General features: G+C 39.3%; 1 protein-coding gene across 4 annotated transcripts, besides 1 other annotated feature; it reads right to left on the bottom strand.

Moving 5' to 3' along the window:
• Window positions 1–248: 248 nt before the first annotated feature.
• NAPG (NSF attachment protein gamma) lies at window positions 249–26,986 on the bottom strand. 4 transcript variants are annotated; one of them, XM_011525754.3, is made up of 13 exons: window positions 26,248–26,566; window positions 23,968–24,012; window positions 22,176–22,243; window positions 20,218–20,302; window positions 19,460–19,477; window positions 18,517–18,547; window positions 13,142–13,251; window positions 12,959–13,025; window positions 12,614–12,684; window positions 6,609–6,687; window positions 4,635–4,714; window positions 3,917–4,046; window positions 249–2,936 (listed from the first exon to the last, which is right to left on the bottom strand). In XM_011525754.3, the coding sequence occupies exons 1-13, from the start codon at window positions 26,436–26,438 to the stop codon at window positions 2,793–2,795; spliced, it is 1,119 nt and encodes a 372-aa protein (XP_011524056.1). In that variant the 5' UTR covers window positions 26,439–26,566; the 3' UTR covers window positions 249–2,792. The 4 variants fall into 4 exon arrangements, with proteins under 4 accessions (XP_011524056.1, NP_003817.1, XP_011524058.1 ...); NM_003826.3 differs by lacking the exons at window positions 23,968–24,012; window positions 26,248–26,566 and adding an exon at window positions 26,855–26,986; XM_011525756.3 differs by lacking the exons at window positions 22,176–22,243; window positions 23,968–24,012; window positions 26,248–26,566 and having other exon boundaries at window positions 19,460–19,491; window positions 20,218–20,269.
• Window positions 26,594–26,843: a silencer, noted in NCBI's record as "silent region_9293". NCBI's record gives its function as "represses an Ori minimal core promoter by ATAC-STARR-seq in GM12878 lymphoblastoid cells {active_cell/tissue: GM12878}" and the evidence as "EXISTENCE:reporter gene assay evidence [ECO:0000049][PMID:35858748]".
• Window positions 26,987–27,553: the final 567 nt, after the last annotated feature.

Below are 27,553 nucleotides of genomic sequence, written 5' to 3'. Positions count from 1 at the left end.
GTCTTTCATCTCACCAAACAGCAGTATATGTAGTATTACAATAACTGAATGACTGGTATTTTAAGAAGCTCAAACAGTTTAAATTCCCAAAGGTACCTTACTCCCAAAGAGCAGAAAAGACAACTGCAGATAACAAAATACTGTCCTTGTAAAATAATGCTGAAGTCATATAATTAAGAGAATGTGTCCCTGGAAAAAAGAAAATTAAAACAAGCTAAACAAAATAAATAATACAAAGAACAATTATATTTATATAGTTTCAGGTTTTATTTTCATAATTATCTTCCTATAGAAGCAATAATCTGTATTTCCATAACAACACATTTAATATTCTACTCATCAGAGTTGGGAAAAATAGGAATAAAGCAGATTCCATACAGAAATACCGTACTCTGCATATGTACAAATAAATTCAATATATTAAATCTATTTTGTAGCTGGACTTCACTTACAATGTAACAGAACATTGAATATTAGATTCTGAGCATATTCATGCAAACTTCCACTTTGGTGAAAGTGATGACAGTGGAGTTCTGGAAGACAATTTTCCTTGTAAACACCAAGTTTTGCACTTTGGACTATGCTCTCAAGATAGAAACTTACGTGAGTGGAAAAAGAAAATGTATAAATGTGAAACAAATATTCCTTACCACACAGAATAACCCTGACAACAAACAATATCCCCAAGTCCTGGTTATTCAATCCTCACCGTGGGCAGGAAGGGTGAAGGAGGCTGCACCTGGACACAGCCTTTTGTGTGGTTTAAAGCATAGCTGCGCTGCTGCTACAGAATGCACTTCATCATCACCTTTTTTAAAAAAAGTTTTCAGTACATAAGAAGAGTAAAATTAAAAAATTTTTTCCCCCAGACTTTAATGGGTAATATGATCTATCTATACATAAATAGTCTACAGTATCTTTAAAGTATTGCCAAATCTGTTTAAACAGATTACTAATTAGCTCAAATGAGCATTAATGTAAGACTCCAGAAGTTTCCGATTGGATCTAAAGGATACAAGCTGCAATGATGGGATCTTTGAAACACTGCAATGTCCTTAAATGCAAATGTCTACATATAGCTTGTTCATAGTTAATCCCAATATCATTAATAAAAATGAGGTGCTACCTGAAGAACTATGCCAATAAATTAAGGAAGAAAAACATTAAATTTATTAGCATTTTGTATCAGACTTACAATAAAGACTGTATACCAACATCCACGCACCCGAGACCACCTCCCAAAGGAGGATGTTATTCTAAGCTCTCCCGCAGAACTGTGACTAAAATCACTTCTGATACTCCACCTTAGTGTTTTCAGGAAGTCTAGCAAAATTAAGCAACCTATACTCAAATAAGGTATGACTCTAAAAGAGACAGAGACAGGGCATGGATGAGCAGGAATTACTTTGGCAGCGTGTACCTGCAGAACGCACACTGCTGGTGTCTGTAGCCTCTTTCCAATTAACAGATTACGAGATGGGTCTAAGCCACACAACAGGGTGAAAAAGGAATGTTTCGAAAACAGCATTTTAGGAAATAACTATAAAGGATCAATATATTGGCAGTGCGGTGTTTTAAATATTGTCTTTCTAAAACAATTCTTCCCTTTCAGCTAAGTTTTCATAGTATATAGCATTTTCCATGTCAAGTTATGACGGAGTTACAATCAAAATAAAATAAACAATCAAAATAAACTGTTTTGGAGGGAAGAAATATATCTGTATTAGACTGATGGAAACATTACCTCATTCTTACAATGTTAGAAAGATATTCATAGGCTGGGTGAGGTGGCTTATGTCTACAATCCCAGCACTTTGGGAGGCCAAGGCAGGCAGATGGCTTGAGCTTAGGAGTTTGAGAACAGCCTGTGCAACATGGAGCAACTCCATCTCAACAAAAAAAATAAAAAAAAAATTACAAATTAAAAATAAAAACATTAGCCTGGGAGCCGTGATTGTGCCACTGCACTCCAGCCTGGGCAAAAGAGTGAGACCCTTAAAAAAAAAAACAAAAAACAAAACAAACAAACAAACAAACAAAAAGGTATTCATTACCCATTAGCTCCTATTTGGTCAAGAACCAAGTAGATTTGAAGACAGTCACTGTATGTATTTTTTAGATAGAAGAAATACCCACACTTCAGAGAGGACTGAAGATATTTATAGATCACTTCAATATGCTACCTTCAAAATTTTTCAAACTCATAATATATAAGAGCTTCAATGCATCTTTTATTGGGCTAAATAATATTGTAAGGCTCAAAATAACTTCCTGTCCCCATCTCATCTCTGAAAAGACTTAATAATTTAAATGTATCTAACATCATGGGGGATAAATTTACTTTTCAAAACAAAAAAATTTTAAAATGATTTATCAGTAAACATCACCTTTAGCAGCAATTATTAAATGAAACGTAAAAAACAATTCACTAACAGTAACTTACAAGTGTCCAAGAGAGAATACCTATGCTTATTACCCCTTTTGTTTAGAACATAATTTATGTATAATTTGGCTTGCAAATTTTTTAATCAATGTATTAAAACATGACAGTACATTTTCTGTTAATTCCTGCTGGTGTCTTAGAAAAGCTCTTATGGAAAGAAAAAGATATGCTTCACAGGTAATGGATACAATGAGTGATTTGGGAAGATGGTAACTAAAAACTAGTCTTTATTAGGATCCAAAATCATGACTGTAATGAAGTACGGATATCCCTAATCTATTCCCAAGTCCTTGAAATGGCATGTCAGGATTTTACCTTTGTTTCCCTTTTCTTTTCAGCAAGCAAAATACTAGCATAGTCCTCCTGAGTATTCATCTTCCTCTTCATCAGCAGCCGTGGCAGTGACACCATCAGGCTTGGCCTGTGGTGTTGCAGGTGATTTCTTCTTGATTCCCCCTCCTGGAACCACCAAACTCAGGCCCAGCTTAGCATACTGTCAACAACAGAACATGTTCTTAAAAGCTGGATAACTAGAATCCTAACATGTTTTACTCAGCTCTAAAAAGACACAGCCTGGCTCCCCACCCTCAGGAACACCAATTCTACCATTCAGATGGAAAAACAAAGCCCAACAATGCTGCTCCCCAGATGCCTCATGACCATGGTGGGACAGGTACACAACTAGTAAAAGTTTCAATTATAAATTTTTTTTAATTAAAACTTTAGAAATATATATATTTTCAAAACCTATGTAAGACGTTATTTAGAAAAAAAATTATCTACATATATCATTATAATAAACAACTGAAGGCCTTAAGTTGATCTGATACTATGATGATACTCTAAAGGCCTAAGGCCAAACAGGTACTTACAAATCTACTGAAAAAGACAAATGAGAAAAAATAAAAACTTATAGTCATGGTTCACTTTATGTGCAAGACATCATGTGAGGATATTTCTCACACACTGACTAATGTATTCTTCACAACAGTCCAGCAAGACAGGTACTAGTGGCTTCATTTTTACAAATGAATTAACTGAGGCTTAGAGATAATTAATGACCTGCAACACACAGCTAGTCCTCACAGATTTTCATAGGTCTACTGAATTACAAAGGCCACTACAGAATGGACCTCTTTCAGAGAGTCCGTCTAAAAGAAATGAATAAAAGCAACCTACAGAGGACAACAGATAGAGGAAAAGTGGAGAAATGAGCCTCAATTTTAAAATATGTATATGGTCAACAGAGTTAGATGGGTGAGTAAATGGCTATACACCACACAACTAACATCTATTTTATCTAAATCTATGGTGAAATTCAATGCAAGTGGTCAGTTTCCTTATGAGTAGTAGCTTGAGAAGAAAAAAAGAGGTAGGAAAAAATCTCTTAAGTACATGGGTAAAAAATAATCTCACTAGAAACCTCTTTCTTTCAAGAGAAAAGATGAAAGCTATGCAAATGGGTCCACTTACATCATTGTCCATGTACTTGAAAAGCGGTGAGTTGCAGACATCTGACACCTGATCTTGGTCTTGCTGGTCATAACCTTCAAGAAGCTGTTCCAGGGCAGCACAGTCTTCACTGCCATTGAACCCAGGGATGCTGCAGTAAGCACAAATCACACGTCTTCACCTTCTCCTTAAAAGAACACATCTCAGGCAGGGATGATTCTGCCCCTGGCATGTGACACTGTCTGGAGACATTTTGGTACTTAAAAGTGTGGGAATGCTAGTGGCATCTAGAGGGCAGAGACCGGGGATCCCGCTAACCAGCCTACAGTGCACAGGACAGGCCCGACCACAAAGAATTATCCAGCCCAAATGTTAACAGTGTTGAGATTAAGACTGCTCATGTTAAACACCGAGAAAATTCCTCATTTTGATTTCTGTAACATAAATCTGATAATTTTTTCCCCCTTTTTCTTGTTCTTTTTTTCTTAGAAGGCAAATAAAATGACTAAAATGACTAAAGTCATTCACTTCCATGGAGGTCCCCTAGAGAAAAATACAGGAAAGGGAAAAAAAAAAAAGGTGTAAAACACCCACTGTAAAAGATGAAATGGTAGATGAGCACTCCTAAGATTTAGAAATGACAGTTTCATGGCCAGGAACATGTGTCCTAGCAGCAATCTTAGTTGTAGACACAGAGGTGTCGCCACTGCAAGTCAAGAGGGCCCAGACAACGTCTTACCTATAGCTCTCCCGGACACATCTTTCTGCAGCTACATAGTCATTTCTGTGTAGATGAACTAAGACTTGAGCAATTGTTTTCTAAAACAAAAGAGAGGATCATGGTCAAATTTACATCTGTTTAATAAAGTCAATAACCTGGCAGTATTGAAAACACCTGGAGTTTAACTTTCAGAGTCTTTGTTTGTATAAACAGAGATTTATAAATGCTATAGTAACTTCCACGGGACACCTGAGGGGAAATATCCTAGAACAGTACTTTTCCAATTCTCATGTCCTGGAATTTGGCTGCTAGGGGCAAGCCTGGGATTCACCCATTTCTAACAAATTCCAGGGGGCACTCCTGCTGCTGGTCTGGGGACCGCACTTTGACACAAGCCTTAGATCACAACCACGTTTTAAAGAGATCTCTTTCAAATATCTACACAGATTCAATCTTGAAAAGTGAATAAAAAAGAAGTGGGGGGGACCCGTAACACCACAATGATACTTAGAATCCTTAAAAAGAAACTAGGAAAAAGATGTATGAGTGAAAACTTCAGATAACAGAAACAATGATAGTATTGATAAGTCAACAATAAAAGTAGTAATAAGATCAAGGATATGACTGATAAATTACTGGAAAAATAGGTCTTCATGAAGTATTTTTCCATCTTTTGGTGTCTCTATTGTTTAGGTAACTTTTACTGATCTATCTTTAAGTTCACAAAGTCTTCCTTCTGTCATCTCTGAGATTAAGCTTATCCAATTATTTTACTTCAATAATGTATTTGCCAGTCCTAAAATTCCCAATTAGTTCATTTTTATAGTTTCTATAAAAATAATTTTTCCTATAAAAAACAACAGGTCCTCTTTTCTATTCATTTTAATTGTGTTTATCTTTACCTCATGGAGCAACTTATAGTTGCTTCAGTCTTTATGTGATAATGCCAACAACCCTGGTCACTGCCGGGTTGCCATCAGTTGTCTTTTCTCCTGAAAACTGGTCATATTTCCAGGTTCTTGCATGTTGAGTAATTCTGGATTGTACTGTGAATGTGATGCTGCACAGCCTCTGCTTAATTTTCAGGAGAGTACAGATGTTTTCAGCAGGTAATCACCCCAGTTAGGTTCAGACTACATGTGGTGCCTTGTTTTTGGTGGATGGAAGTTCTACACTTAATTCAAATCCTTTGCTATGTGGCTTTGGGCCTGTTCCATGCATAAGCCCTTCAGAGGGCAGTGCAACACTTCGACAGTGATGAAATCTTAGCTCTCCAAGCTTTGCGCTGCACTGCTACTTTGAGGCCTGTCTCAGCACAGCTGAAGAGTAAACCCAAGACTTGTGTGGGCCACATCCACACTCAGGGGACTCCGTTTCCAGCTCTCTCCTTTCCGGAATTTTCTCCTTGCTCTCTAGCTCATTTTCCTAGTTCCTCTGGCAAAAGAGACTGGGGTCCTTGTGGAGTTTTATCAACCTGAGCCATCATCACAGTGTAGCTCCATGCCTGGGACAAGCTTGGAGCAAAGCCAAAGGAGAGGAAAACAATGGGACCTCTTCTCCCATTGCTGGTTAGAAAGGCGGGGTTTCTTTTGGAGTTTTCATTGTTGCAGCCTTTGCTGCCCAGCTCCACAACTGTGGGCTTCTCTCAGGGCAGGGCAATGAATGCTGCAAGAGGAAATGGAAAAAAACCCGAGAAACTCATTCCCATGGTGGTTGTTTCTCCACGTGTTTGCTCCTCTCCTTAGTCTCTTTTTATTTACTTTTCAGAGTTCAAGGGTGGTTGCTTTTGTATTTTATCCAGTAGTTTAGCTGTAATCAGCAGAGAAACAAGCTGTAGTGGGCTTACTCTATCTTGGTCAAAAATAGAGGCCCATGAAGTATTATTTTACAAAAACATAGAAATACCCATAGAATCCTTTCTTAAGTACTTATTCATACCAGTATAAAAAATCATCTAATGTAATACCAAAAACAAACACTTTCAAAGAATACCTTATAACAAGTTGGATAATTCTCAATTTCCTTATAAATATTTTTTTCTTTCTGAATAGAGAGTGCCGCCTCATCAAACCTAAAACAAAACACAGAAATGTAAAAAAAGCAGGTCTAAATGATCTATAGCAGAGGTCCCCTGTGAAATGTACTTGACATCATAGATTGTAGAGACACCAGGAGGACAGGTATTATTAGCAGCTGCCCCAGGACCCAGGTTTCCACATGCTCTGCTCATCTGGCTTACCTTTCAAATGTCTGACTCCCCACTTTCAGGCTGCACGCTGACAGAAAAAGCAAAAGAACTCAAGGATGGGTTAGGTCAAACGGGGAGTTTTAAGCTTAGTAAGGACTGTCCAATAGCGAGTGTCACGACTTCTTCGTGATACGTACTTGAGACGATCTTCGATTAAATCACCCAAGATTTCTTTCCTCCCGACTGAAAGAACATCCAGACACCCAAGGCACTCGGTGCCTTCCCCCGACTGTGTCCCTCCATCACATACTCCGCTGCTGCCCCAGTGGCCCTAGCAAGCTCTGAGGTGCCTAAAAGGGCAGCAGAGGGGAGGCAAGTTAGAGACCTAAACAAAAGCCTTCCTGCATCTTCAGTCTTCAACATTCATCTTTTCCATTGACCCTCATACATTCTCCTTTTCTTCCATTTTGCCCAATGGCAGAATGAAGACGAAAGCAAGGAAAGGGGTCACCAAAACATTTCCCCCAAACCCTCCAGGCCCTTACCCCTTTCTCATTCCCCCAGCCCTAATTCCATCAAACCCTAATTGAACCTCCCCTCCCTGCAAAGCTGTAGTATACTCCAAATGCCAGGACTCCCTCAGTAGTACAACTTGAGACTGAGTGAAATGTACAGTCTTTAGCCACTGCTCTCATCCCAATAACAGTCCACGGTTATGGGAGAAACTACCAGGGTCTGGGCATTGGGAATACACACAACCAACAGCCAAAAGGGGCAAGAGTCTGTACTATCGGGATTCAAAGGGAGGTAAGTGGTATTGTAAACCAAAGTAAAAATACAAAAATGTTATGCTTGTTATGCTATATGCTCTATTTTTCTGTCTTTTTATTTTTTTTTGAGACGGAGTCTCACTCTGTTGCCCAGGCTGGAGTGCAGTGGCGACATCTCGGCTCACCGCAACCTCTGCCTCCCGGGTTCAAGTGATTCTCTTGCCTCAGCCTCCCGAGTAGCTGGGATTACAGGCGCCCACCACCACGCCCAGCTAATTTCTGTATTTTTAATAGAGATGGGGTTTCGCTATGTTGGCCAGGCTGGTCTCGAACTCCTGACCTCAGGGGATCCACCTGCCTCAGCCCCCCAAAGTGCTGGGATTATAGACGTGAGCCACCGCACCCAGCCTGTATGTTATCTTTTTAAAAATAGTGGCATGTATACACAGACACACACACACACCACACACACAGTGGCTTGGCTTATGCTATTATGGCTACTTACATCATGAGTTAAACTGAATCTTTATGGGATGCACGCTGGCAACTTAGTGCCTTATAAAATGACACTCATAGGAGAAATGCATTCTGAATTTCCACAGGTCAACTTGATAAATTTTTGGAACAAAGTCAATTTATAAGCTGGGTTTGGTAGCAGAATTCTAAGAGTGCTCCCGATTCTTGCCCCTTGTAAACATTTCCTCTATAATCCCCCTTTAAGTGTAGGTGTGACCCTCGGAATATGATGGGCCATCCTGTGATTAGGACACAAATCAGCTGACTTCGAGTGAATCACTGTCTGTGTGGGCCTGACTTAATCAGGTGGGCCCTTCCTTAAGTTAGAGGCCAGAGTACTCCTGATGTCTCGAATTAGCAGCAAACTGCCATGCTGTGAACCACCAATGGGGGCACACGGCCAGGAACTGAAGGCAAACTCAAAGCTGAGAGCAGTTCCTGGCGAACAGGCAACAAGAAAACAGGAATCTCTTCCACACAGCTGCAAGGAAATCAATTCTGCCAACAATCAATGAGCTTGGAAAAGGACCCAAGCCTCCGGTGAGATCAGCCCCCTCCGACACCTTCATTTCGGCCTGGTGAGACCCTAGCTCTGCTACCTAGCTACACTAGGACCTAGCTACACTGTATCCAGACTTCTGGCCTCATGAAACTGTGAGCTAATCAGTGAGTACTGTTTTAAGCTGCTAAGTTTGTAGCAATCTGCTATGCAGAAATAAAAAATTAATGCAAGGCGGACTACAGCTACATGTATCTGTATCATTTATAATTGTGACCCTGAGCTTATAACAGATCCTGTTTTATAAAATAAATTATGGTCAGAATATTCTGTGCCCGTCGTGTCTAGATTATATCATTCTATTAGCAATCTCAGTATTTTAAACTTTTCATATATTTAACTATAAAGGGTGCATTCTTTACGCATAAACTGTTTATTTCCTTGACATAATATTAGCATTTCTATGTGCTAATATATAGTTACCTAACAAAAGAGCCAAGCCCTTACATGAGTTTGTAGTCGAAAAAGTTGATCGACTTTGCTAAAAGGCCATGAAATTAGCATACAAAGCCATCTATTTTTAAATGTATCCAGAAAAGTATTAGTTACTTATTATAATGAAACACAGATGCTTTCAACTTTTCCATCAGGTAATACTTAATATTCCTAACAAAATGACAAGAATTTGGTTTTGCTGAAAAAAGAATAAATTGTTTTTATCTTCCCCAAATGTAACAAAATTGAAACCCCACAGAAGTTATGTGCAAATGGCAGAAAACTGTCACAGAACCTCATTCATCCCCAAGCTTTCAACAGACACCTTCTACACCACAACTCAAACTGTTCCTCTGGCCCCAACTATTTCCTGAACTCCAAAACCTATTTTTAACTACCTACAGAAATGTTTAGTTTATGTGTCATATTCCCAGCTAAGTTTATTATCATCACTGATAAGTTTGTTTCTATATTCCTTATCTCAGTTATTGATGGCACCATGGACAGAACAGTTATGCAAGACAGAAACCCAGTGATTCTCCTTAATAGCACACATCCCACCCCTGAACATATACACACCCAACCCTCCTTGTGTTTAGGATCTAGTGACTGTCTCAGACAACTGGTGAGAAGCAGCTCTTTTCTTTGCTAAGTGAGTCTTCTAGGAGGGATTTGGGTTCACTGAGACCACACACCTTGTCTCAGAGGCATAGACCTTCTCTCAGAGGCACAAGGTCATGATCAACTTGCTGGAAAGGTCTTTTTTTCTTTTCTTTTCTTTTTTTTTTTTTTTGAGATGGGAGTCTCACTGCAACCTGTGCCTCCTGGGTTCAAGCGATTCTCCAGCCTCCCGAGTAGCTGGGATTATAGGTGTGCGTCATCACACCCGGCTACTTTTTGTATTTTTAGTAGAGAAGGAGTTTCACCATTTGGCCAAGGCTAATCTTGAACTTCTGACCTCAGGTGATCTGCCTGCCTCAGCCTCCCAAAGTGTTGTGATTACAGGCATGAGCCACTGCACCCAGCCTGGAAAGGCCTTTTCTAAAAAGGAACAAGGGCACTGGCCTTGGACTGACTTTTCCCAGATGTAATCTAAATGAAACTACGAATCACTTCTGAATTTTGACTCTCCAAAACTGAAGGAGAAGCAAGAGATTAATATATTAAATAGATTCTTTGCTACACTAACATAGAAAGTATTAAATTAGGACATCTTATGGACTCATGTTAATGTAAAAACATAAGTGCACTAACTAAATATAACAAACATAAAACTTTAGACTCCATGCCACACAGTCTATTAGTAGATGTTGCTTGTGTGAAGCATAAAATTACCACCTGTTTAGTTCTTTTAGGCAACAGATGCAATCAAATAATAATCTAAGCACATAGTTAATATTTTCAATTATCACATAAATCATCTCAATAATGTCTCCATCACTATAAACACTGCATGTTTTTTCTTATCCTGCACTATTTAAGTTCCCAATAGAAGTACCATGACAGTAGACTTAATTTTTTCATACCAAGATACCCAGCAACACTTTTCAAAAGATCAAATTCCTTCATGTTCCTGCACAAATTTAAATTAATTTTTATATTGTTAATACACTTCAAAAATATATTTCCATAACATTTTTGTTGAGCACAGTAGAAAGTACCATTTTAAAATACATTTTTCCTAAAAAGAAAAAAAAAAAACCAATAAAACAAAGTCACGAATAAAAGCCCTGGATTTATAAATGTGCCCTTTGAGCACATCTACGCAGCATTCTCACTTCTGCTGCTCACTCAACTAGCATTCTCCCCTCTGCTGAGGCTTTGAAGAATTTAACACAGTAATTGCTTTAAAACAATGGCTTTCATCAGATGTGTCCAAACCGACTGGCAACACTGGTAATGTTTTGAGGATGATGGTGGCCCCCATCCCTAGTGGAGCTTTCTAAAGGAATATGCACAGGCAGCTGGAAAACGTTCCTCATCTGACCTCCCCCGAAAAGATCCTGGCCTCTCTCCTTTCCTGCTACTCCCTCTACAACACAGCTTTAGATAATCTATACCTTGAGAAACAAAAGGAAAGAAGATGTGGAAAGCAGAAATACTTCAGGGGAGCTGATGCAGTCTGGACTTTCACACAGGGCTGTCCTTAACTTCTGCCCCTTCCTGCAACTTCACTTCCTTCACCTTCCATGGGGTCTTATAGTAAGGGGCTTAGCGCTCTAGAAAGGCACTGGGAGTCTTGTCGGGGAGCATCAGGAGATGAGAACAGAAGAGAAAGGAGGTAAACTATGCTAAAACTTGCCTCCTAGCTGCCCTGAAAAGAATGAAGGACACTGTTTCTAAGACATGGGGCCCCTGCTCACAAGTCAGAACCTTGGTATCACCTCACAGTTCAGCTATTTTGCCACAGCCATAACGCCATCACCAAGAACAGCTCTGCTGCTGTAACAAACACTTTCAGAAACTAAAGTGAACCATTTTTAAGTTGGGATTTGTCAGAGTTAGCATTTCATTCACTGATTTCTGGGAAGCGACGAGTAAGTAATAAGATGAATAAAGATAATGACCCCGGACTGACATTTAAATTAAACTTTCCTTCATGATTAAAGTCCTAATTTAAAAACAAAATGAAATTTCTATTCCATTTAGACAAAAAAATACTCCTCAGTGAAGGAAGGTCCTATAAACAAATTAATCTAAATGAGATTGTTTAATAGTTAATTCTAGATTAATTTATTCTCATATTACTCTAGACCGGTTTAAATTGTATTTCAGAATCTGCAGTCTTCATGAAGAAAAAATTTAATTCAGTCTCAGATAGGATAGATTCATCAGTCATTTCTATTTTGATTCCTTGACATATTAAATGGATCTTGGGTGTTTTCTGTTACTGGGAAGCTTTGGACAAATTTCAATTAAGATATCTGCAGACTTACAATCTCCTAGAGATGTTTATCTTAAATATTATTGAGACAGAATTTTATTAATGAAAAAAATTGTTTACTAAAAGTAAACTGAGATAAAGTAAAAAAACAAAAGGAAATCCCAATAGGATTTTAGCTTTCTGAGGTTCAACTATTTGTGCTTCAGGTCATATGTGAAACGATAACAAGGTAAATATTCTAATAATGACACTATTTGTCAAGAACCTGTCAGTTTTCATGGGTGAGTGTTTATGCATCTTTGTCATTTATCCTAATATTCTTATTTTTCCTTGAGAGAGATATTATAATCCAACCAAGTAACAGATGAAGGAAACTGTTCCCTTTCATGTTGCTGAGCCAGGGTTCAACCAATAAAAGCACAGTGCATGATAAATTTGGGCATTACACTTTCAAAAAACAGCAGATCTTTTAATATCTAATTCAGTGTGCCTACTGTCTAGTAAATGTTAATATTCTATTGTGTGGCCTGGTGTGTCTACAGCTTATACCAAAAAATTAACAAGCTATCCCCCAAATTACTTTCCAGTTCCAAATGTGGATTCAAAGTATAGTTAAACACACAGCAATAGTTTTTAAAGACATACCTACGTCCTCGTACTAGTAGTCTGGAGGCTTTTCCTAGTAATTCAACTGCCTGTCGTAAGCGTTCTTCATTCTGAAGGAATCAAAGAAAAACAAGTGTTGGCTGCTTTAATGTTGAAATGTTTTTATCCCCTAATATTTATTTTGTAAAGAAGTAATGGCACTGGATCAAGGGGGGAACACGAAAGCTGCTAGTTCATTTCACTACTCTCTAACAGAAAAGAAATAGCGTGCAACTGTGAGCAGGGAAAAGTTTTAAAAGTAGCCACTGCACTTCTCTATTTTCCTATATATTATTAATCTAAACATTCTAAGTAATTAAAGAAAAAAATAAGATTCAAACTTACTTCAAACACATTAGCTGTCTGTTGATATAACTGTACAGCCTTCTCTGGATCAACATTTTCTATAAGCCTGAATCAGACAAGAAAACATGTCTTATATGAGAAATGGAAAACTTGTTTTTCAGGGACCTCTTTAAAACAAAAAGACAAGACTTCTATGCAGAGACTTGTCCATCTCACACTCACTTTCCAGCTCGCTCCAAAGCCATGGCTGCTGTGTCTGGGGTGCCGTTTTCTAGATACATCATGCTGGCCTTCTCAATTAGCTGAACGGCCTCTGGTAGTTTCTGCATCTCCTTTGGGCAAAGGATACAGTAGACAGGTCAGCAAATGCATCAATTAAAGAAAAACAGAGTTAACAATCTGAAATGCAATTATTTTTTATTTTAAGTTCTGGGACACATGTGCAGAATGTGCAGGTTTGTTACATAGGTATACATGTCCCATGGTGGTTTGCTATACCTATCAACCCATCATCTAGGTTTTAAGCCCCGCATGCATTAGGTATTTGTCCTAGTGCTCTCCCTCCCCTTATTCCCCAGCCCCCGACAGGCCCAGGAGTGTGATGTTCCCCTCCCTGTGTCCATGTGTCCTTGTGGTTCAATTCCCACGTATGAGTGAGAACATGCGGTGTTTGGTTTTCTGTTCCTGTGTTTGTTAGTTTGCCAAGAATGATGGCTTCCAGCTTCATCCATGTCCCTGCAAAGGACATGATCTCATTCTTTTTTACAGCTGCATAGTATTCCATGGTGTATATGTACCACATTTTCTTTATCCAGTCTATCACTGATGGGCATTTGGGTTGGTTCCATGTCTTTGCTATTGTAAATGGTGCTACAATAAACATACGTGTTTACTGTATAAACATACGTTTCTATAGAATGATTTATGTTCCTTTGGGCATATGCCCAGTAATGGGATTGCTGGGTCAAATGGTATTTCTGGTTCTAGATCCTTGAGGAATCCCCACACTGTCTTCCACAACGGTTGAACTAATTTACACTCCCACCAACAGTATAAAAACTTTCCTATTTCTCCACAGCCTGGCCAGCATCTATTGTTTCCTGACTTCTTAATCATCACCATTCTGACTGGCGTGAGATCTCATTGTGGTTTTGATTTGCATTTCTCTAATGATCAATGATGATGAGCTGTTTTTCATGTTTCTTGGCTGTATGTCTTCTTTTTCTACAAGGAACTTAAATTTACAAGAAAAAAAAAACCCAATCAAAAAGTGGGCAAAGGATATGAAATACAATTATTTTATCCCTAATTCATGAAAGTAAATGACTCAAATACATTGTATAGCAATAAAGATATTTAAAATGAAATGCTTCACATGATTACTCTCCCAATCAAGCTTCATTAAACCCAATCAAAAAGGTACCAGGTAATTTCTACACAGAGTTCATCATCACTTCACAGACCTTTGGGAAATCTATGAAAATAGAAAAAACCAAAAACCTTGCTCTTTACTGTTTTCTAAGCACTTCTTATTCTTTAAACATTTACCAAGTCCCTACTACATACAAGACCTATGCCAAGGATCACAAACTGGCAGCCCAATGACTCTATCTCACTTCCAAGTGTGTTTTGCTTGATCCATGCAGTATTTTTAAATTAGATACTTTCATGAAAATTGTTTTATGGCTTTCTTCAAAAAAATATCAAAAGCTACGGCATCAGCAGGCTTGCATCCCTGTATGGCAACAGGCTGGGGCTGGGCAGCACTGTCCCGCCACATGAGCATGCACCTCCTGGCGCTTCTCCCCGCTCTTCACTTCCAAATGCCCTCCACGTCCCAGCTGCTCATTCATTTTAGTTATTCCTCTACACCCTGAGTTCATCTGAGTTTGCAACCCTCTTCCATGACTAATAAATTCTGTATCTTACTATTAATCTACACATCTCAGGATCATGCAGTCCTAATGTCTAATATCTCCAAATCAAACATTTTAAAAATAAACTTAAAAAAAAACACCGTTTAAAAGCTAGTTATAAAGTTTACATAAGCAACTTATTTAGTGTTGACTTGCTGTATCTTAAGGTAGGCTCCACACTGACATCTCATGGGTGGTTTACAAATCTGCCTATTCAGTCCCTTGCTAAGTTGACAAATTCATTAGGATACCCTTAACAAAACTGGTCTCATTTTCGCCAACCCCAAAACATAACTTTATTATTTAGCTATGGAAACTAACAATAACACAGACTGAAAGACACTGTATGAAATAAGACTGCTATCATTCACTCAAGCAGAATGAAATGCTAATGCATTTCCAAACCTCAGTGAAAAAATAAAAACAATACTTTTTTTGTTATAAAACCAAAAGTCAATGAAAGAATCCGAGTCTACAATATCTGCTGAAAAATATCTGAATGAACAGGGGAGGTAAACCTAACAAAATCTCTCTCAGACACATTAGTCCTGAGGGTCATTTTGGCTTTTAAAGAATACAACTGAACCTTGAACAGCAGAGATTTAAACTGTGCTGGTCCAATTATACGCAGACTGTCTTGCTCCTCTGCCACCTGAGACAGCAAAACCAACCCCTCTTCTTCCTCCTCCTCCTCTTCCTCCTCCTCAGCCCAAACGTGAAGACTATGATGAGGATGAAGAGCCCTATGATGCTCTACTTCCACTTAAAGAACACTAAATATATTTTCTCTTCCTTACGATTTTCTTAATATTTTCTTTTCTCTAGCTTTATTCTAAGAATACAGTATAAAACATATTCCATACAACATACAACATATGTACTAACTGACTGTTTATATTATTTATAAGACTTCCAGTCAGTAGTAGGGTAGTGGCTCACGCCTATAATCCCAGCACTTTGGGAGGTTGAGGCAGAAGTATCACTTGAGCCCAGGAGTTTGAGCCCAGCCTGGGAAAAACAGCGAGAACCAGTCTCTACCAAAAAAATTAAAAAATTAGCAGGGCATGGTGACATGCACCTATAGTCCCAGCTACTCAGGAGGCTGAGGTGGGAGGATCGCCTGAGCCCAGGAGGTTGAGGCTGCAGTAAGCCATGATTGTGCCACTGCAATCCAGCCTGGGCAACAGAGCAAGATCCTGTCTCAAAAAAAAAAAACAAAAACAGGCTATTAGTAAAGTTTTTGGGGAGTAAAAAGTTATATGTAGAGTTTCAACTGCACAAGGGGTTGGCATCCCAACCCTTGGGTAGTTCAAGGGTCAACTGTATTTCCTCCCCAAATATACCTACCCACTAATTACATATATAATGTGAATCTACAACATAAAAGCATTTGGGAGGATAAAAAAACCACAGGAACTATTCGTCATGAGTTTTACCCAGTAGATAGAGCAAAAAATACATTAGAAGGCAGTAAAAATGGCATCCGAGTCCTATTTGTTGTTTAAAAATTAGCAACTACATCTTCCTGTTTTTGCGTAAAATCAAGTGAGGCTGTGAGTAAGAGGTCCAACCACAATATTGATACTTCTCCATAAAAAATGATGAGCTGCCTACTTGAAAGTTATACCCTCCACCATAAATATGCCTATTTTCAATGGCTGTGTGCCAGTGGAGCAAACAGGATATGAAATCACAGCAGTCATCAAGTGACAGAACCAAAGGTTGATCCAACAAGTTTCTGTGGCTTCCCTTGTGCATATGTCTACAAAATGGCACTCCCCAAGCCTTTCTGGTGAATCAGTGTGAAGGTTTGTATGACAAATTGGTAGAAATTTTAGCCCACAGAATTGTGGACCACGTAGCTCAGGGGTCCTGTGCTCCCAACAGTGTCCAAAGGCATTTAATTTAAATATAAGACAATGCCAGAAAGCATTTTCCTTCATCTGTTTCCCTATCCACTAAGTTAATTTTCTTTCATTCAAAGTAGTGCCTTTCCAACCCTCAAATTAAATAGATACTTGAGCAATGGAAATGATGCCTGAATAATAACTTTTGATGAAGATTCAAGTCTTAGTACAGCTGTTGTAATATAAACTGAGGCTGTGAGAATTAGAGTGTTTGAGCATTTCTTAAACAGGCATGAAGTACACTAAGAATGTAACAGCCACCTGGGAGCTTCCTAATTCTCAGAGGAAAATGAGACATAAGAAGACCAGAGCAGATCCCCAGCTTCTTTGGCCGTAAGAGAAACTCTATGGTTTCAAAGGAACTGTGGTTAATAACCTAACTTGCGGCACCAAATACCAATTCAGTTGCATGTTTGGCCAGAAAAGCTTTATTTCAATGGATATATAATAGTTTATAATAAGGAAGCATCATAATTTATTTAAACACTTTCCTATTATTATTATTACTTTGAGACAGAGTCTCGCTCTGTTGCCCAGGCTGGAGTGCAATGGCACGATCTCGGCTCACTGCAAACTCTGCCTCCTGGGTTCAAGCAATTCTCCTGCCTCAGCCTCCCAAGTAGCTGGGATTACAGGCGCCCGCCACCATGCCCAGCTAATTTTTGTATTTTTAGAAGAGACAGGGTTTCACCATGTTGGCCAGGCTGGTCTCGAACTCCTGATCTCAGGTAATCCACCCACGTTGGCCTCCCAAAGTGCTGGGATTACAGGCATGAGCCACTACATCCAACCTCACTTTCCTATTATTCAAAATTTAGATAATTGGCATTTCTTCAAGAAACAACCTGATGCATAAATCTTTGATCTCTCTCTCTCGATGATAGACTCACAGAATTGAAATTCCTGGGTCAAAGACTATAAAATCTTTTAAACTAAGTATGTTAACAGCTATTACTAACATTCTTTAACTTTTCGGTATTTTTTATTGTCTACAATGAGCATGTGTTCACTAAAAAAATGAGTAAGTTCACATTATAAAAGTCATAGAAATTAAAAACAAAAGCTTTACTAAGGTAAAAGTTCTTAAAAACAAAGCTTTATAATAAATACTTGAAAGTAGCTTTTACCATTTTAGAAAAAAACATTTTTAAAAAAGAAAGACAAATACTTCATTTCAACTGCCAGCTGGCATACTTTGAAAGTCAGCATCATAAAGTAGTATGTTCTGTCTCACCACAGCAGGACATTAATTCCTGGCCTGCTTTTGAGGAGCAGAAGTACAAACAGTGGCACAGGTACATTAGTTGGAATATTCCATGCAGAATGAATTAAAGTAGCAAAAGCTTAAATCTGTGGTTGTTTCTGCTGCCAACTGTTATTCACATAAGTAAAAATCTCTTCTATAACCCATGTATGATAATTTTTTAATATTTATAAAATTTTACTACATTTAGATGTCCTTCTCAAAAGTAGAGAAACTTCCCATAGAGCTCTTTTTATAGCAATACACATCTATCCTGGTTATAGAGCTTAGAACATTAGTGTTCCCAGTTCACTCCAATACATTTTCTCTTAAATTTCACTTTTAACATTCCTTAAGACGTACAGAATGTATTCTATGGGTCCAATTAACGTTACCGTGGACAGAAAATCTTAACTTAGCACCTCTTGCCTTACAGTAAGGAAGCTTTTCAACTTCAACAAAAATTCTTGTTTAACACCTTGTAGTTAATTCATTTTACCTACACAACAATTGTGACATAACATTACTGACCTTCAACATCATTCCAGCTTGCTCATAAGCTCTGCAAAGAGAATATAATTTCTCTGATGAGATCTTAACGAAATAAGGGGTAGAAGAAACTTTCTGGTGAGGAACTACTGGTAAGGAAAGTGACTTCAATTACAATGGGCTCATGCACAACATATCACTTCAGGCTTATATTACCACACAATATAATTTTTTATTCTTTTTTTGTGGGGAATAATGGCTTAGAACATCAGACATTTGAGTTAAAGAGATTTTATTTTGCAGATGCAAAATTAAGTAAGGCTCAGTAAGGTTAAATTAATTTCCATCTGACAAACCTAAACCTAAGTTTTTTTGTTTGTTTGTTTGTTTTTGGGATGGAGCCTTGCTGTGTCGCCCAGGCTGGAGAGCAGAGGCACGATCTCAGCTCACTGCAACCTCCATCTCCCAGGTTCAAGCAAGTCTCCTGCCTCAGCCTCCCCAACAGCTGAGATTACAGGCACGTGCCACCACATCCAGTTAATTTTTGTATTTTTAGTAGAGACGAGGTTTTTCACCAAGTTGGCCAGGCTGGTCTTGAACTCCTGACCTCAAGTGATCCGCCTGCCTCGGCCAACAAATAACTACTCTCCACAAGGCAAGAGAAAGCTTCCTGCTTCATCTCCACAGGCACCATTAACTATCAAACAGAGGAAAAAAGAGATCCTAACTTATTTTTTTCCCATAGGCTACTGAACAAAATGCTCCTAATAAAATATTATGGCAAATTTAATTTAAACTCTTTACATCTTACAGTTAGGAGTAAGTCTTGGTTTTTAAGGTTTAGGTAAAAACTGAAGCAAAGAGAAATGATTATTATTTAAATCAATACAAAATTTATAATTTGGGAAAAAATTACCAACCTACAGAAAAACAGCAACATTTAAAACATAATTTGCAAATACATGAAAACATGAAGAATACTTACTTGGCAGCATGAAAAAGACTGAATGGAAGTAACGAAGTCAAAGTTAAGGAAAAAAGAAAAAAATCAATAGTTTCTATAGATCAACTATTTAAAGACAGTTAACTAAATCACTGACCCAGTTGGTTCCAAAAGACAAATCCTACAAACAGGTAAAAAAGAAGTAATTCAATACCTGTCAATATAGTTTAAAACTACATAATTCCCAAAACCACTAACAAAACACTGCACAGATTTTAAACTATTTCTATTACGCAATAATCTGAAGTTTTACTGAAGTACAAAGTTATTATGACTACAGTTTGCAAATAAGAGAAACATTTTTTATTGATAAGTTTGCAAACACCTCAAGAAAATGTACTGTTTTAAACTACTTATAATTTTTATTTCAAATACCTAAGGAAAACTGTATTTAAAAAAATTGATACAGTAGTTCACGTGTTTTCAATACCTGTGCTACTTCTTCATTCTTCAGCACATGTCTACAGATTTACTTTACTTCATCCCAAGTAAAACCATCATCAAGTAAAATCACAAACAATAGAAAGTAAGTATTGTAGCTCTGCGAACCAGTGTGGACCTTATAATCAAACTTCATTATAAACGCTCCTTCATAGTTTAAAAATACAGAATTTTTCTAATCATTTTCTAATTTAAAAACATTTTACTTCACAGGTAGTAAAGTAAATTTACAGCAAGAGAAAACAGCTTGTCAAAATCATCTAATTGTTTAATTTCTTTTTAAAAGTTGAAAAAGATACGCCCTATTATTTTCATGGGCAACAGCTTCCCTCAGGCAGGCATCTTTTGCTTGCTCAAACTGTTTGGCATTTTTAAAAGCAACAGCTGAAATAGAAAAAAAAATTGACTATTTCCATCATTAAAAACCTCAAATGAATCATTACTGAAATCTGCATTTTATATGAAGTATTATAAACATACTTACTTCAAATACTTAGGAAGTATCCTAAAACTATAAAATATTACTTTTTTCTAAAGCAATTTCCTTACAACTTTTCCAATTATTGGTAACTTACGAGTATTTTTAAAACTTTTTCTTTTTTAATTGTTGACTACTGGCAACAAATCAGTGTTTCTTCCACTCAAAATCAAGAAGTCTTTCTAACACCAACACTCCCCAATACTCCCCAGTAACCGGCAGATTCTTCAGTCACAAAAGACAGCACCTTACTTCACCAGTTTTACCTTTAAACGGTATTTTGGGTATAGGTCATTCGATTAGGTAGAAACTGAGGGCCAATAAGCACATTTAACAGTTTTTTATAATAAACCTTCCTTTTGGCACAATCTTTAAATGTCTAACAATGCATTTTTTTAAAAAAACAATCTTTTATACTGTTTACTATCTATGAAAAAGATGTCTCACTGTTCAAACAGCTAAAGCATACTGAAAGCTGTTTTAAAAGTGTAATCATCAAAACAAAACAGGAGTGCTTATAACATATGATCTTACAAATTTTGGAAAACTTATCAAGGGTTGCTTACAAAGAAGCAAAAAGCATAATGCTTTAAGAAAAGTGCTATTTGTTAAAAACACTCTTAAAATTCTCTTTAATAAAATGTGAAAACCAAATACTGAAGCTATTCCCCTCCCTGCTTTTCCATATGTTGCTTTTTAAAAAATTTATTCTGATTAAATAGGTTTTCCATAAGCCCTTAAAGAAAATAAACAAAGGATGCTTCAGGGGGAAAATTTCATCTAAAACATTTATTTTTGAATGTAATTCATGATCTCAGAGGGGCAGAAAACAAATCTGTGTTAAATTTCCCTCACAGAGGAAACTTGCAAAATGTTGTTCCCTTCTGCTACAGAAGCCTCCTTGCATGAGTAGTCCACAAAATTCATACAAAGTTTGAACTTTTAATAATTTTCAAGTATAAGATAAACAATTTGCATGATGCAAAAAAACAGAATTTACTCAGATTTAAATAAAAGTACTGAAGACTCATTTGCTGTTTAACCAAAAGCACTTGCCCCAGATGATCTCTATGCTAGGCTAACAAATGTGATAAGGGCTATCGCTGAAATACAACTGAAAATGTGTTCAAGGTACTTCAAAATTTTGTTATATTTATACTGCAAATTATCACAGGTATGCTTAAAGCTATCATTCTGTAATTCAGAATGCTACATTTTTAGTAAATTCCCTTTCTGTTGCATATTTTAGATTGTTTATATCTTATATAAAGATAAATTGATTAAAATATGTATATAGCTTAACACTTCATGAACACTGAACAGATACACTCAAAGTGAGGTTCATAAAAGACATAAAATACCAAGCAAACATATGATTTGCGTATCAGGTTAAGATGAGGCTAAGTTAACAAAAAATTTAACAAACTCCTAATTCAATAGAAAGTATAATAGAGAAATATGGCAAAACTCATGGATATGGTATTCAAATAACTGGAGTTAAAGAATATATAAGCAACGCTAAAAACCCACTACTGTGTATCACCAACCCCGCCCCATCCCTGCTGTCATAGACAGCAGGTACCAGGAACTCTGACTCAGCTCTCAACACATCTGAAAATAACAAGTGGAAAAAAACTCAAGGGCTTGCACAGTTGTTTTGTTTGTTTTTTAACTATTAAAGCCTTATAGAAAGCATATGAGTAAGTATTATGGTGAAATGAAGTTATCAGACTATTTTAAGATTACATACTGGAGCAACTGGACTATAGTCAAAAATACCTGCTTTTCCATATTCAGAAGCGGCACTGTCATAATCTGGCTTCCATTTTAAAAAACCAGTTTTCAGGCTAGAATGAAAAAAACACAGTTAACAGGAGTTACCAACCACATTTATAAGTCAGATCTCTGCTTGTAATGACCTTCTAGGTCTTTAAAAAAAAAAAAAAAAAGGAGAAACCATCAGGCACAAACTCTGTGTCACCCGCCTCCATCCAAACTTAGGCCTAACAAACACAACCTCACCTCTTTCACTCCCACTGTCACAGGTACGTGGTTTTCCTCCTAGAGGTTCTCAATTCATGGTCCCTGGACCAGCACCATCAGCACTAACTGGGAACTTACTAAAATCGTAAATTGTTGACCCCATCCCAAGCCTACAGCACCTCTGAGGTTTAACGAGCTCAAAGGTGCATTAAAGCTTTAGAACCTCTGAAGCACAGTATCGACAGCAGAGGGATTCATGAAACTGACGCACAGACAAGAGTCTAGAGACATAAATGGAGGCATCATAAGCATATGTCAAGAGCATAGATGAGATCAGATCCCCTAGTGAGACTGCAGAGAGAGAACAGAAAGACTAAGGAATACAATCATTCAGTGAAACAACAGAGGAAGTAGGCAAAAAAAAAAAAAAAAAAAAAAAAAAAAAGTGAAAACTCGCCACCCATAAACAAGAAGGATAATCAGAAAGGGAAGGATATTACAAAAGCCAAGAGAAACTGCTTTCTAGGATCACTACTGGCTTCTTGGATGCCAAACCAAAGGACAATCAATTTTGAATCCTTAACTTACTTGCCTTTTCCTCAATATTTATTTTCTTATTTTAAAATAATTTCAGACTTAGTTTAAACTAATTCAGTAACTGTCAAATTTGGGTGTGCATAGAAATTGCCCAAACCATCGTAAATTCTAAATGTCATTCAATTAGTGAAGGCCTGCTTGCACAGAACACTGCTTGCTTCAAATGACTCAGGGGAGTATCTTAACTGAAAGATGAGGCATCTGTATGAGCACTCAGAAGTACAGCCTTCATTATGTGACAGCCATGGGAACTGCCACAAAGTCATAGCTTCTTTTTTTTTCTTGAGATAGGGTCTCGCTCTGTCACCCAGGCTGGAGTGCAGTGGTATTATCTCGGCTCACTGCAACTTCCGCCTCCCAGGTTCAAGTGACTCTCGTGCCTCAGCCTCCTCAGTAGCCGGGATTACAGGCTTGTGCCACCACACTCAGCTAATTTTTGTATTTTTAGTAGAGAAGAGGTTTCGCCATGTTGGCCAGGTGGTCTCGAACTCCTGGCCTCAAGTGATCCGCCCACCTTGGCCTCCCAAAGAGCTAGAATTACCGGCATGAGCCACTGTACCCAGCCAGCTACAGTAACATTTTTTGCCAATTAAATTTATTCAACATATTTAGCATCTAAAACTTGTTTGTGTATATAGTGTTACAAGATTCAAATTAAAATAAGCAATTTTTCAAGCTTACCAAGAATTTCACTGTTCAGAAAAATAATATCCTTAAATTGTGGTGTGTCTACTCAAATCTACAAAATTGAGGAAATATGCAATATGCAAAATGCTAACCCTCTGTTCCTATCCCATAACAAACATTACATTCTGTATATTAACATAATTTTTTTAATCCCACTAAAAACAAGATACAATCACTCCGTCACCTAATGTGCTATACACGGAAAGACCCAGAGAGTTTAAAACTGGGCAAACCATCCCAAGTCACATGAACACCACTAATAAGGAAGAAAGATATACAGCTAATTTGGGTTTAGCAGCCATACCTGTTAGTCCTTTTGACCTTTTTCTCCAAAGAATCAATAAGGAAACTGACCAATTTCCACAGAAAAAAAGAAAACAGCAAAATTACCATCTGTGTGGGGATCAATTTACAAAATTACTCAGCAATATTGAACTACGTCATCATTAGAAAATGGAGAAAAATCAAATATCTCCTAAGCTCCTGGCCCATTTTTCCTACCACCCACTGAGTAACTCTGTCTAGCAGCATTTCAAACTAACACTTCAAGCCTGAACTCCACACCTCCCCGCCCCACCTCCCTGCCCCAGACCTACCCACCAATCACATCCATTAATCTATATCCCCTATCTTGGCTGAAGGCCTCTCCCACTCGTCTCCCAAGTTAGAAACCTAGGAGTTAACTCTTCATCTCTACATGCAGGCACCTCATTAAAGCATGTCAACCTTACTGACAAACATCACCCAGTCCTACCCCTGTACTGTTATTTGAATTCAGGCCATCACCACCTCTCCCCTGAAGTCGACAACCCACTAACATGTCTGGCAGTACCTTCATGGGAGAGTCACCTTTCCTCCTCTTCCATTCCCCACATCCTGAGCATATTACCTTTTCCTTGCTTCCTATCTCTACCATACCACACTGAATACTTCTATTCTAGCACTGAACATCCTATTTTTAGTCCTCTGTTAACTTGTCTGCCCACCTGTGAATTCTAAGCTCTTGAAGAAGGGACCACTTTTGGTTACTCCAGTATCCTCTGTGGCTGGTACAGGTACACAGAGACAACTTTGTAAATGTTCGTTTACTGAATATGTCAAAGTCCATTCTCCACACTGCTGCCACATTTCTTTTTCTTTTCCTTTTTATTTATTTATTTTTTTGATACAGAGTCTTGCTCTGTCTCCCAGGCTGGAATGCAGTGGCGCGATCTCCGCTCACTGCAACCTCCGCCTCTAGGGCTCAAGGGATTCTCCTGCCTCAGCCTCCTGAGCAATTGGGATTACAGGTGCGCGCCACCACAGCCGGCTAATTTTTGTATTTTTAGTAGAGACAGGGTTTCACCATGTTGGCCAGGCTGGTCTCGAACTCCTGACCTCAAGTGATCCACCCGCCTCAGCCTCCCAAAGTGCTGGGATTACAGGCATGAGCGACAGGGCCCAGCCTGCTGCCACATTTCTTTCACCAAAAGCAAATCTAACCGAGTCCACTGGTTGGATGCCTACAATAGCCATGTGAGAAGCTGTCCCTTCACAGTCTGGCCCCAACTCTTTTTCACTCCAGCTCGTCCCCTGGCACTGTGACTACACTACATTCACTGTTCCCAGAGCACATTTTCAGGCCCGCGTATAATACATACTACAGGTTGCGCACAGAATCTCTTTCACAAGATTTTCCCTCCGTCTAAAACATTCCGTATTTTTCAAGCTCTGCTCACAAATCATCTCCTCCTCAAATTTTCTCAGGCAGAATAAACTTCTCCCTCTGGGTTACCTATGCACAGTTAATACAGCTTTTTTGTGGTCCCTATTCCACACACTATTCTTATTACAAATTTTGCGTTTGCTCCCACTAGAAAGCAGAATGTTGTGGGAACCTCCTGCACCAGGAGAGCCCCAGCACCTTACACGCTGACTGCCTCGAGTCATGTGATAGAGCTTGAGTTTTTCCACTGTTTGAAAACTGGCTCTGCGATCTTTCACCTGTGCAGTTGGGGGCAAGTCGTTATGAGGCTTCCCTGAGTCTCATTTCCTCTTACGAAAAATTAGAATCTCTATTTGGAAAGTTATTGTGAAGATCTCAGCTTATGAAATTATGTATGTGAAGCACCCACCACAGAGCACAATGCTGACTTTTTCTTTTCTTTTTTTTTTTTTTTTTTGAGACGGAGTCTCGCTCTGTGGCCCAGGCTGGAGTGCAGTGGCGCGATCTCGGCTCACTGCAAGCTCTGCCTTCCGGGTTCAGGCCATTCTCCTGCCTCAGGCTCCCGAGTAGCTGGGACTACAGGCGCCCGCCACCACGCCCGGCTAATTTTTTGTATTTTTAGTAGAGACGGTTTTCACCGTGTTAGCCAGGATGGTCTGGATCTTCTGACCTTGTGATCCGCCCGCCTCGGCCTCCCAAAGTGCTGGGATTGCAGACGTGAGCCACCGCGCCCGGCCCACAATGCTGACTTTCTATTAACTGTAACTGCCAGATAAAAATGCACTGGAGTAATGAAACGGGGGGAAGAGGCTGCCAAAAGGATGAATTAAGGATTATCAGTTCAGTCCCACAAACATTTGCAGGGTGCCTACTACGTACTGTACCAGAGGTGGCAGGACATACACATCAAAGGACGAACGAAGCACAGTCCCTGCCCACAGGGACAGTAAAATGCCAGATGACAAAGGTTCACCGAGGAGTTTTTGGGGTAAACCTATGGTCCCCTCCACACAGGGGGCTCTTCTAGGGCGGTGGTTCTCAACAGAGCGATGTTGTTCCCCAGATGACATTTTGGGTTGCCACAAATGGGGAAGAGATGCGACCGGCACCCAGCAGGTAGAGGCCAAGGATGCTGCTAACGAGCCTCCGATGCACAGACAGCCCCCACCACAATCTTCAGGAGCAGAGCGCCCAAGTAGAGAAGCCCTCGCCCCGCAGCACTGCGCCGAGTCCCCGCCCACACCGGCTCTGGGGAGCGGACTTCCGGCGGGGTGGACCCACGGCGCTTCCCGAGGCGCCGCAGAGCTGACCCCGACCCCGGGAGTGTGACCCAGAGGACACCGAGCCCCGGCAGCCCTGCGGGCACCAGCGCGCCGAGGCCCCTCAGCCCTGAGCCCTCCCTCCCGCCCCCCCCGGGTGCTAAGGCCGCGCCAGTGAGAGACGGACCCGGCGTCTACACACAGGCCCCCGGAAGGTTCTCACTCACTATTTCTCTGCTTTGGCGAGGTGTTCCAGCCCCTCGTTTATCTTCTGAGCCGCCATCTCCACAGTCAGGTCTCTGACGTGGAGAGAGGGTGACCCTGCCTCTTCCTCCGGCGCCAAGAATCCGCCCAAATAGGCGTGGGAACGCCGAGGAGGAAGCTGGTGCAGCGCGACAGTCGAGCGGCTACGGAGGGCCGGAGGGCCCAAGCCGCTGCGACGAAGCGGGGCTGGGAGCCTGCCGGTGCGCCCCGCAAAGAGACATTGCGCAGGCGCAGCGCGTCAAGGCTGGCCCCACCTAGGGCATCTAGCGCAGGCGCGGTGAGATACTGATGGGGCGTATTCTTTCATTCAATATTTGCAAAGCACCTAATATGTGTCAGGCACTATTTTAGATGCGGGAAGATCAGCAGACAAAAACTCCCGCCCTCTTGAAGTCTTGCTTTTTCATTAATGTGAAACTGCTGTGGATCCTGTTTGTAGGGTTAATTGGCTTTATAATTTATTACATCTGAAGTTTCTCTGTATGACAGATAGAATAGTATTCTTCTATCCATTCTGCCTTTTGGGTATTAATTGTATGTCAGTCAAGAAACGAAACAGACTTGTAAACCCTGATTACTGTCAAATAATCCGCGCCCAACCCAAATAATCGCTCTAATATTTCAAGCCGTGATAAGTGCTCTAAATGGGAAGTTGAGGGATC

Source organism: Homo sapiens, chromosome 18 (assembly GCF_000001405.40).
Source record: "Homo sapiens chromosome 18, GRCh38.p14 Primary Assembly".
Classification (NCBI taxonomy): domain Eukaryota; kingdom Metazoa; phylum Chordata; class Mammalia; order Primates; family Hominidae; genus Homo; species Homo sapiens.
The sequence above is the reverse complement of the archived record's forward strand: the minus strand, read 5'-3'. Positions and strand labels throughout refer to the sequence as shown.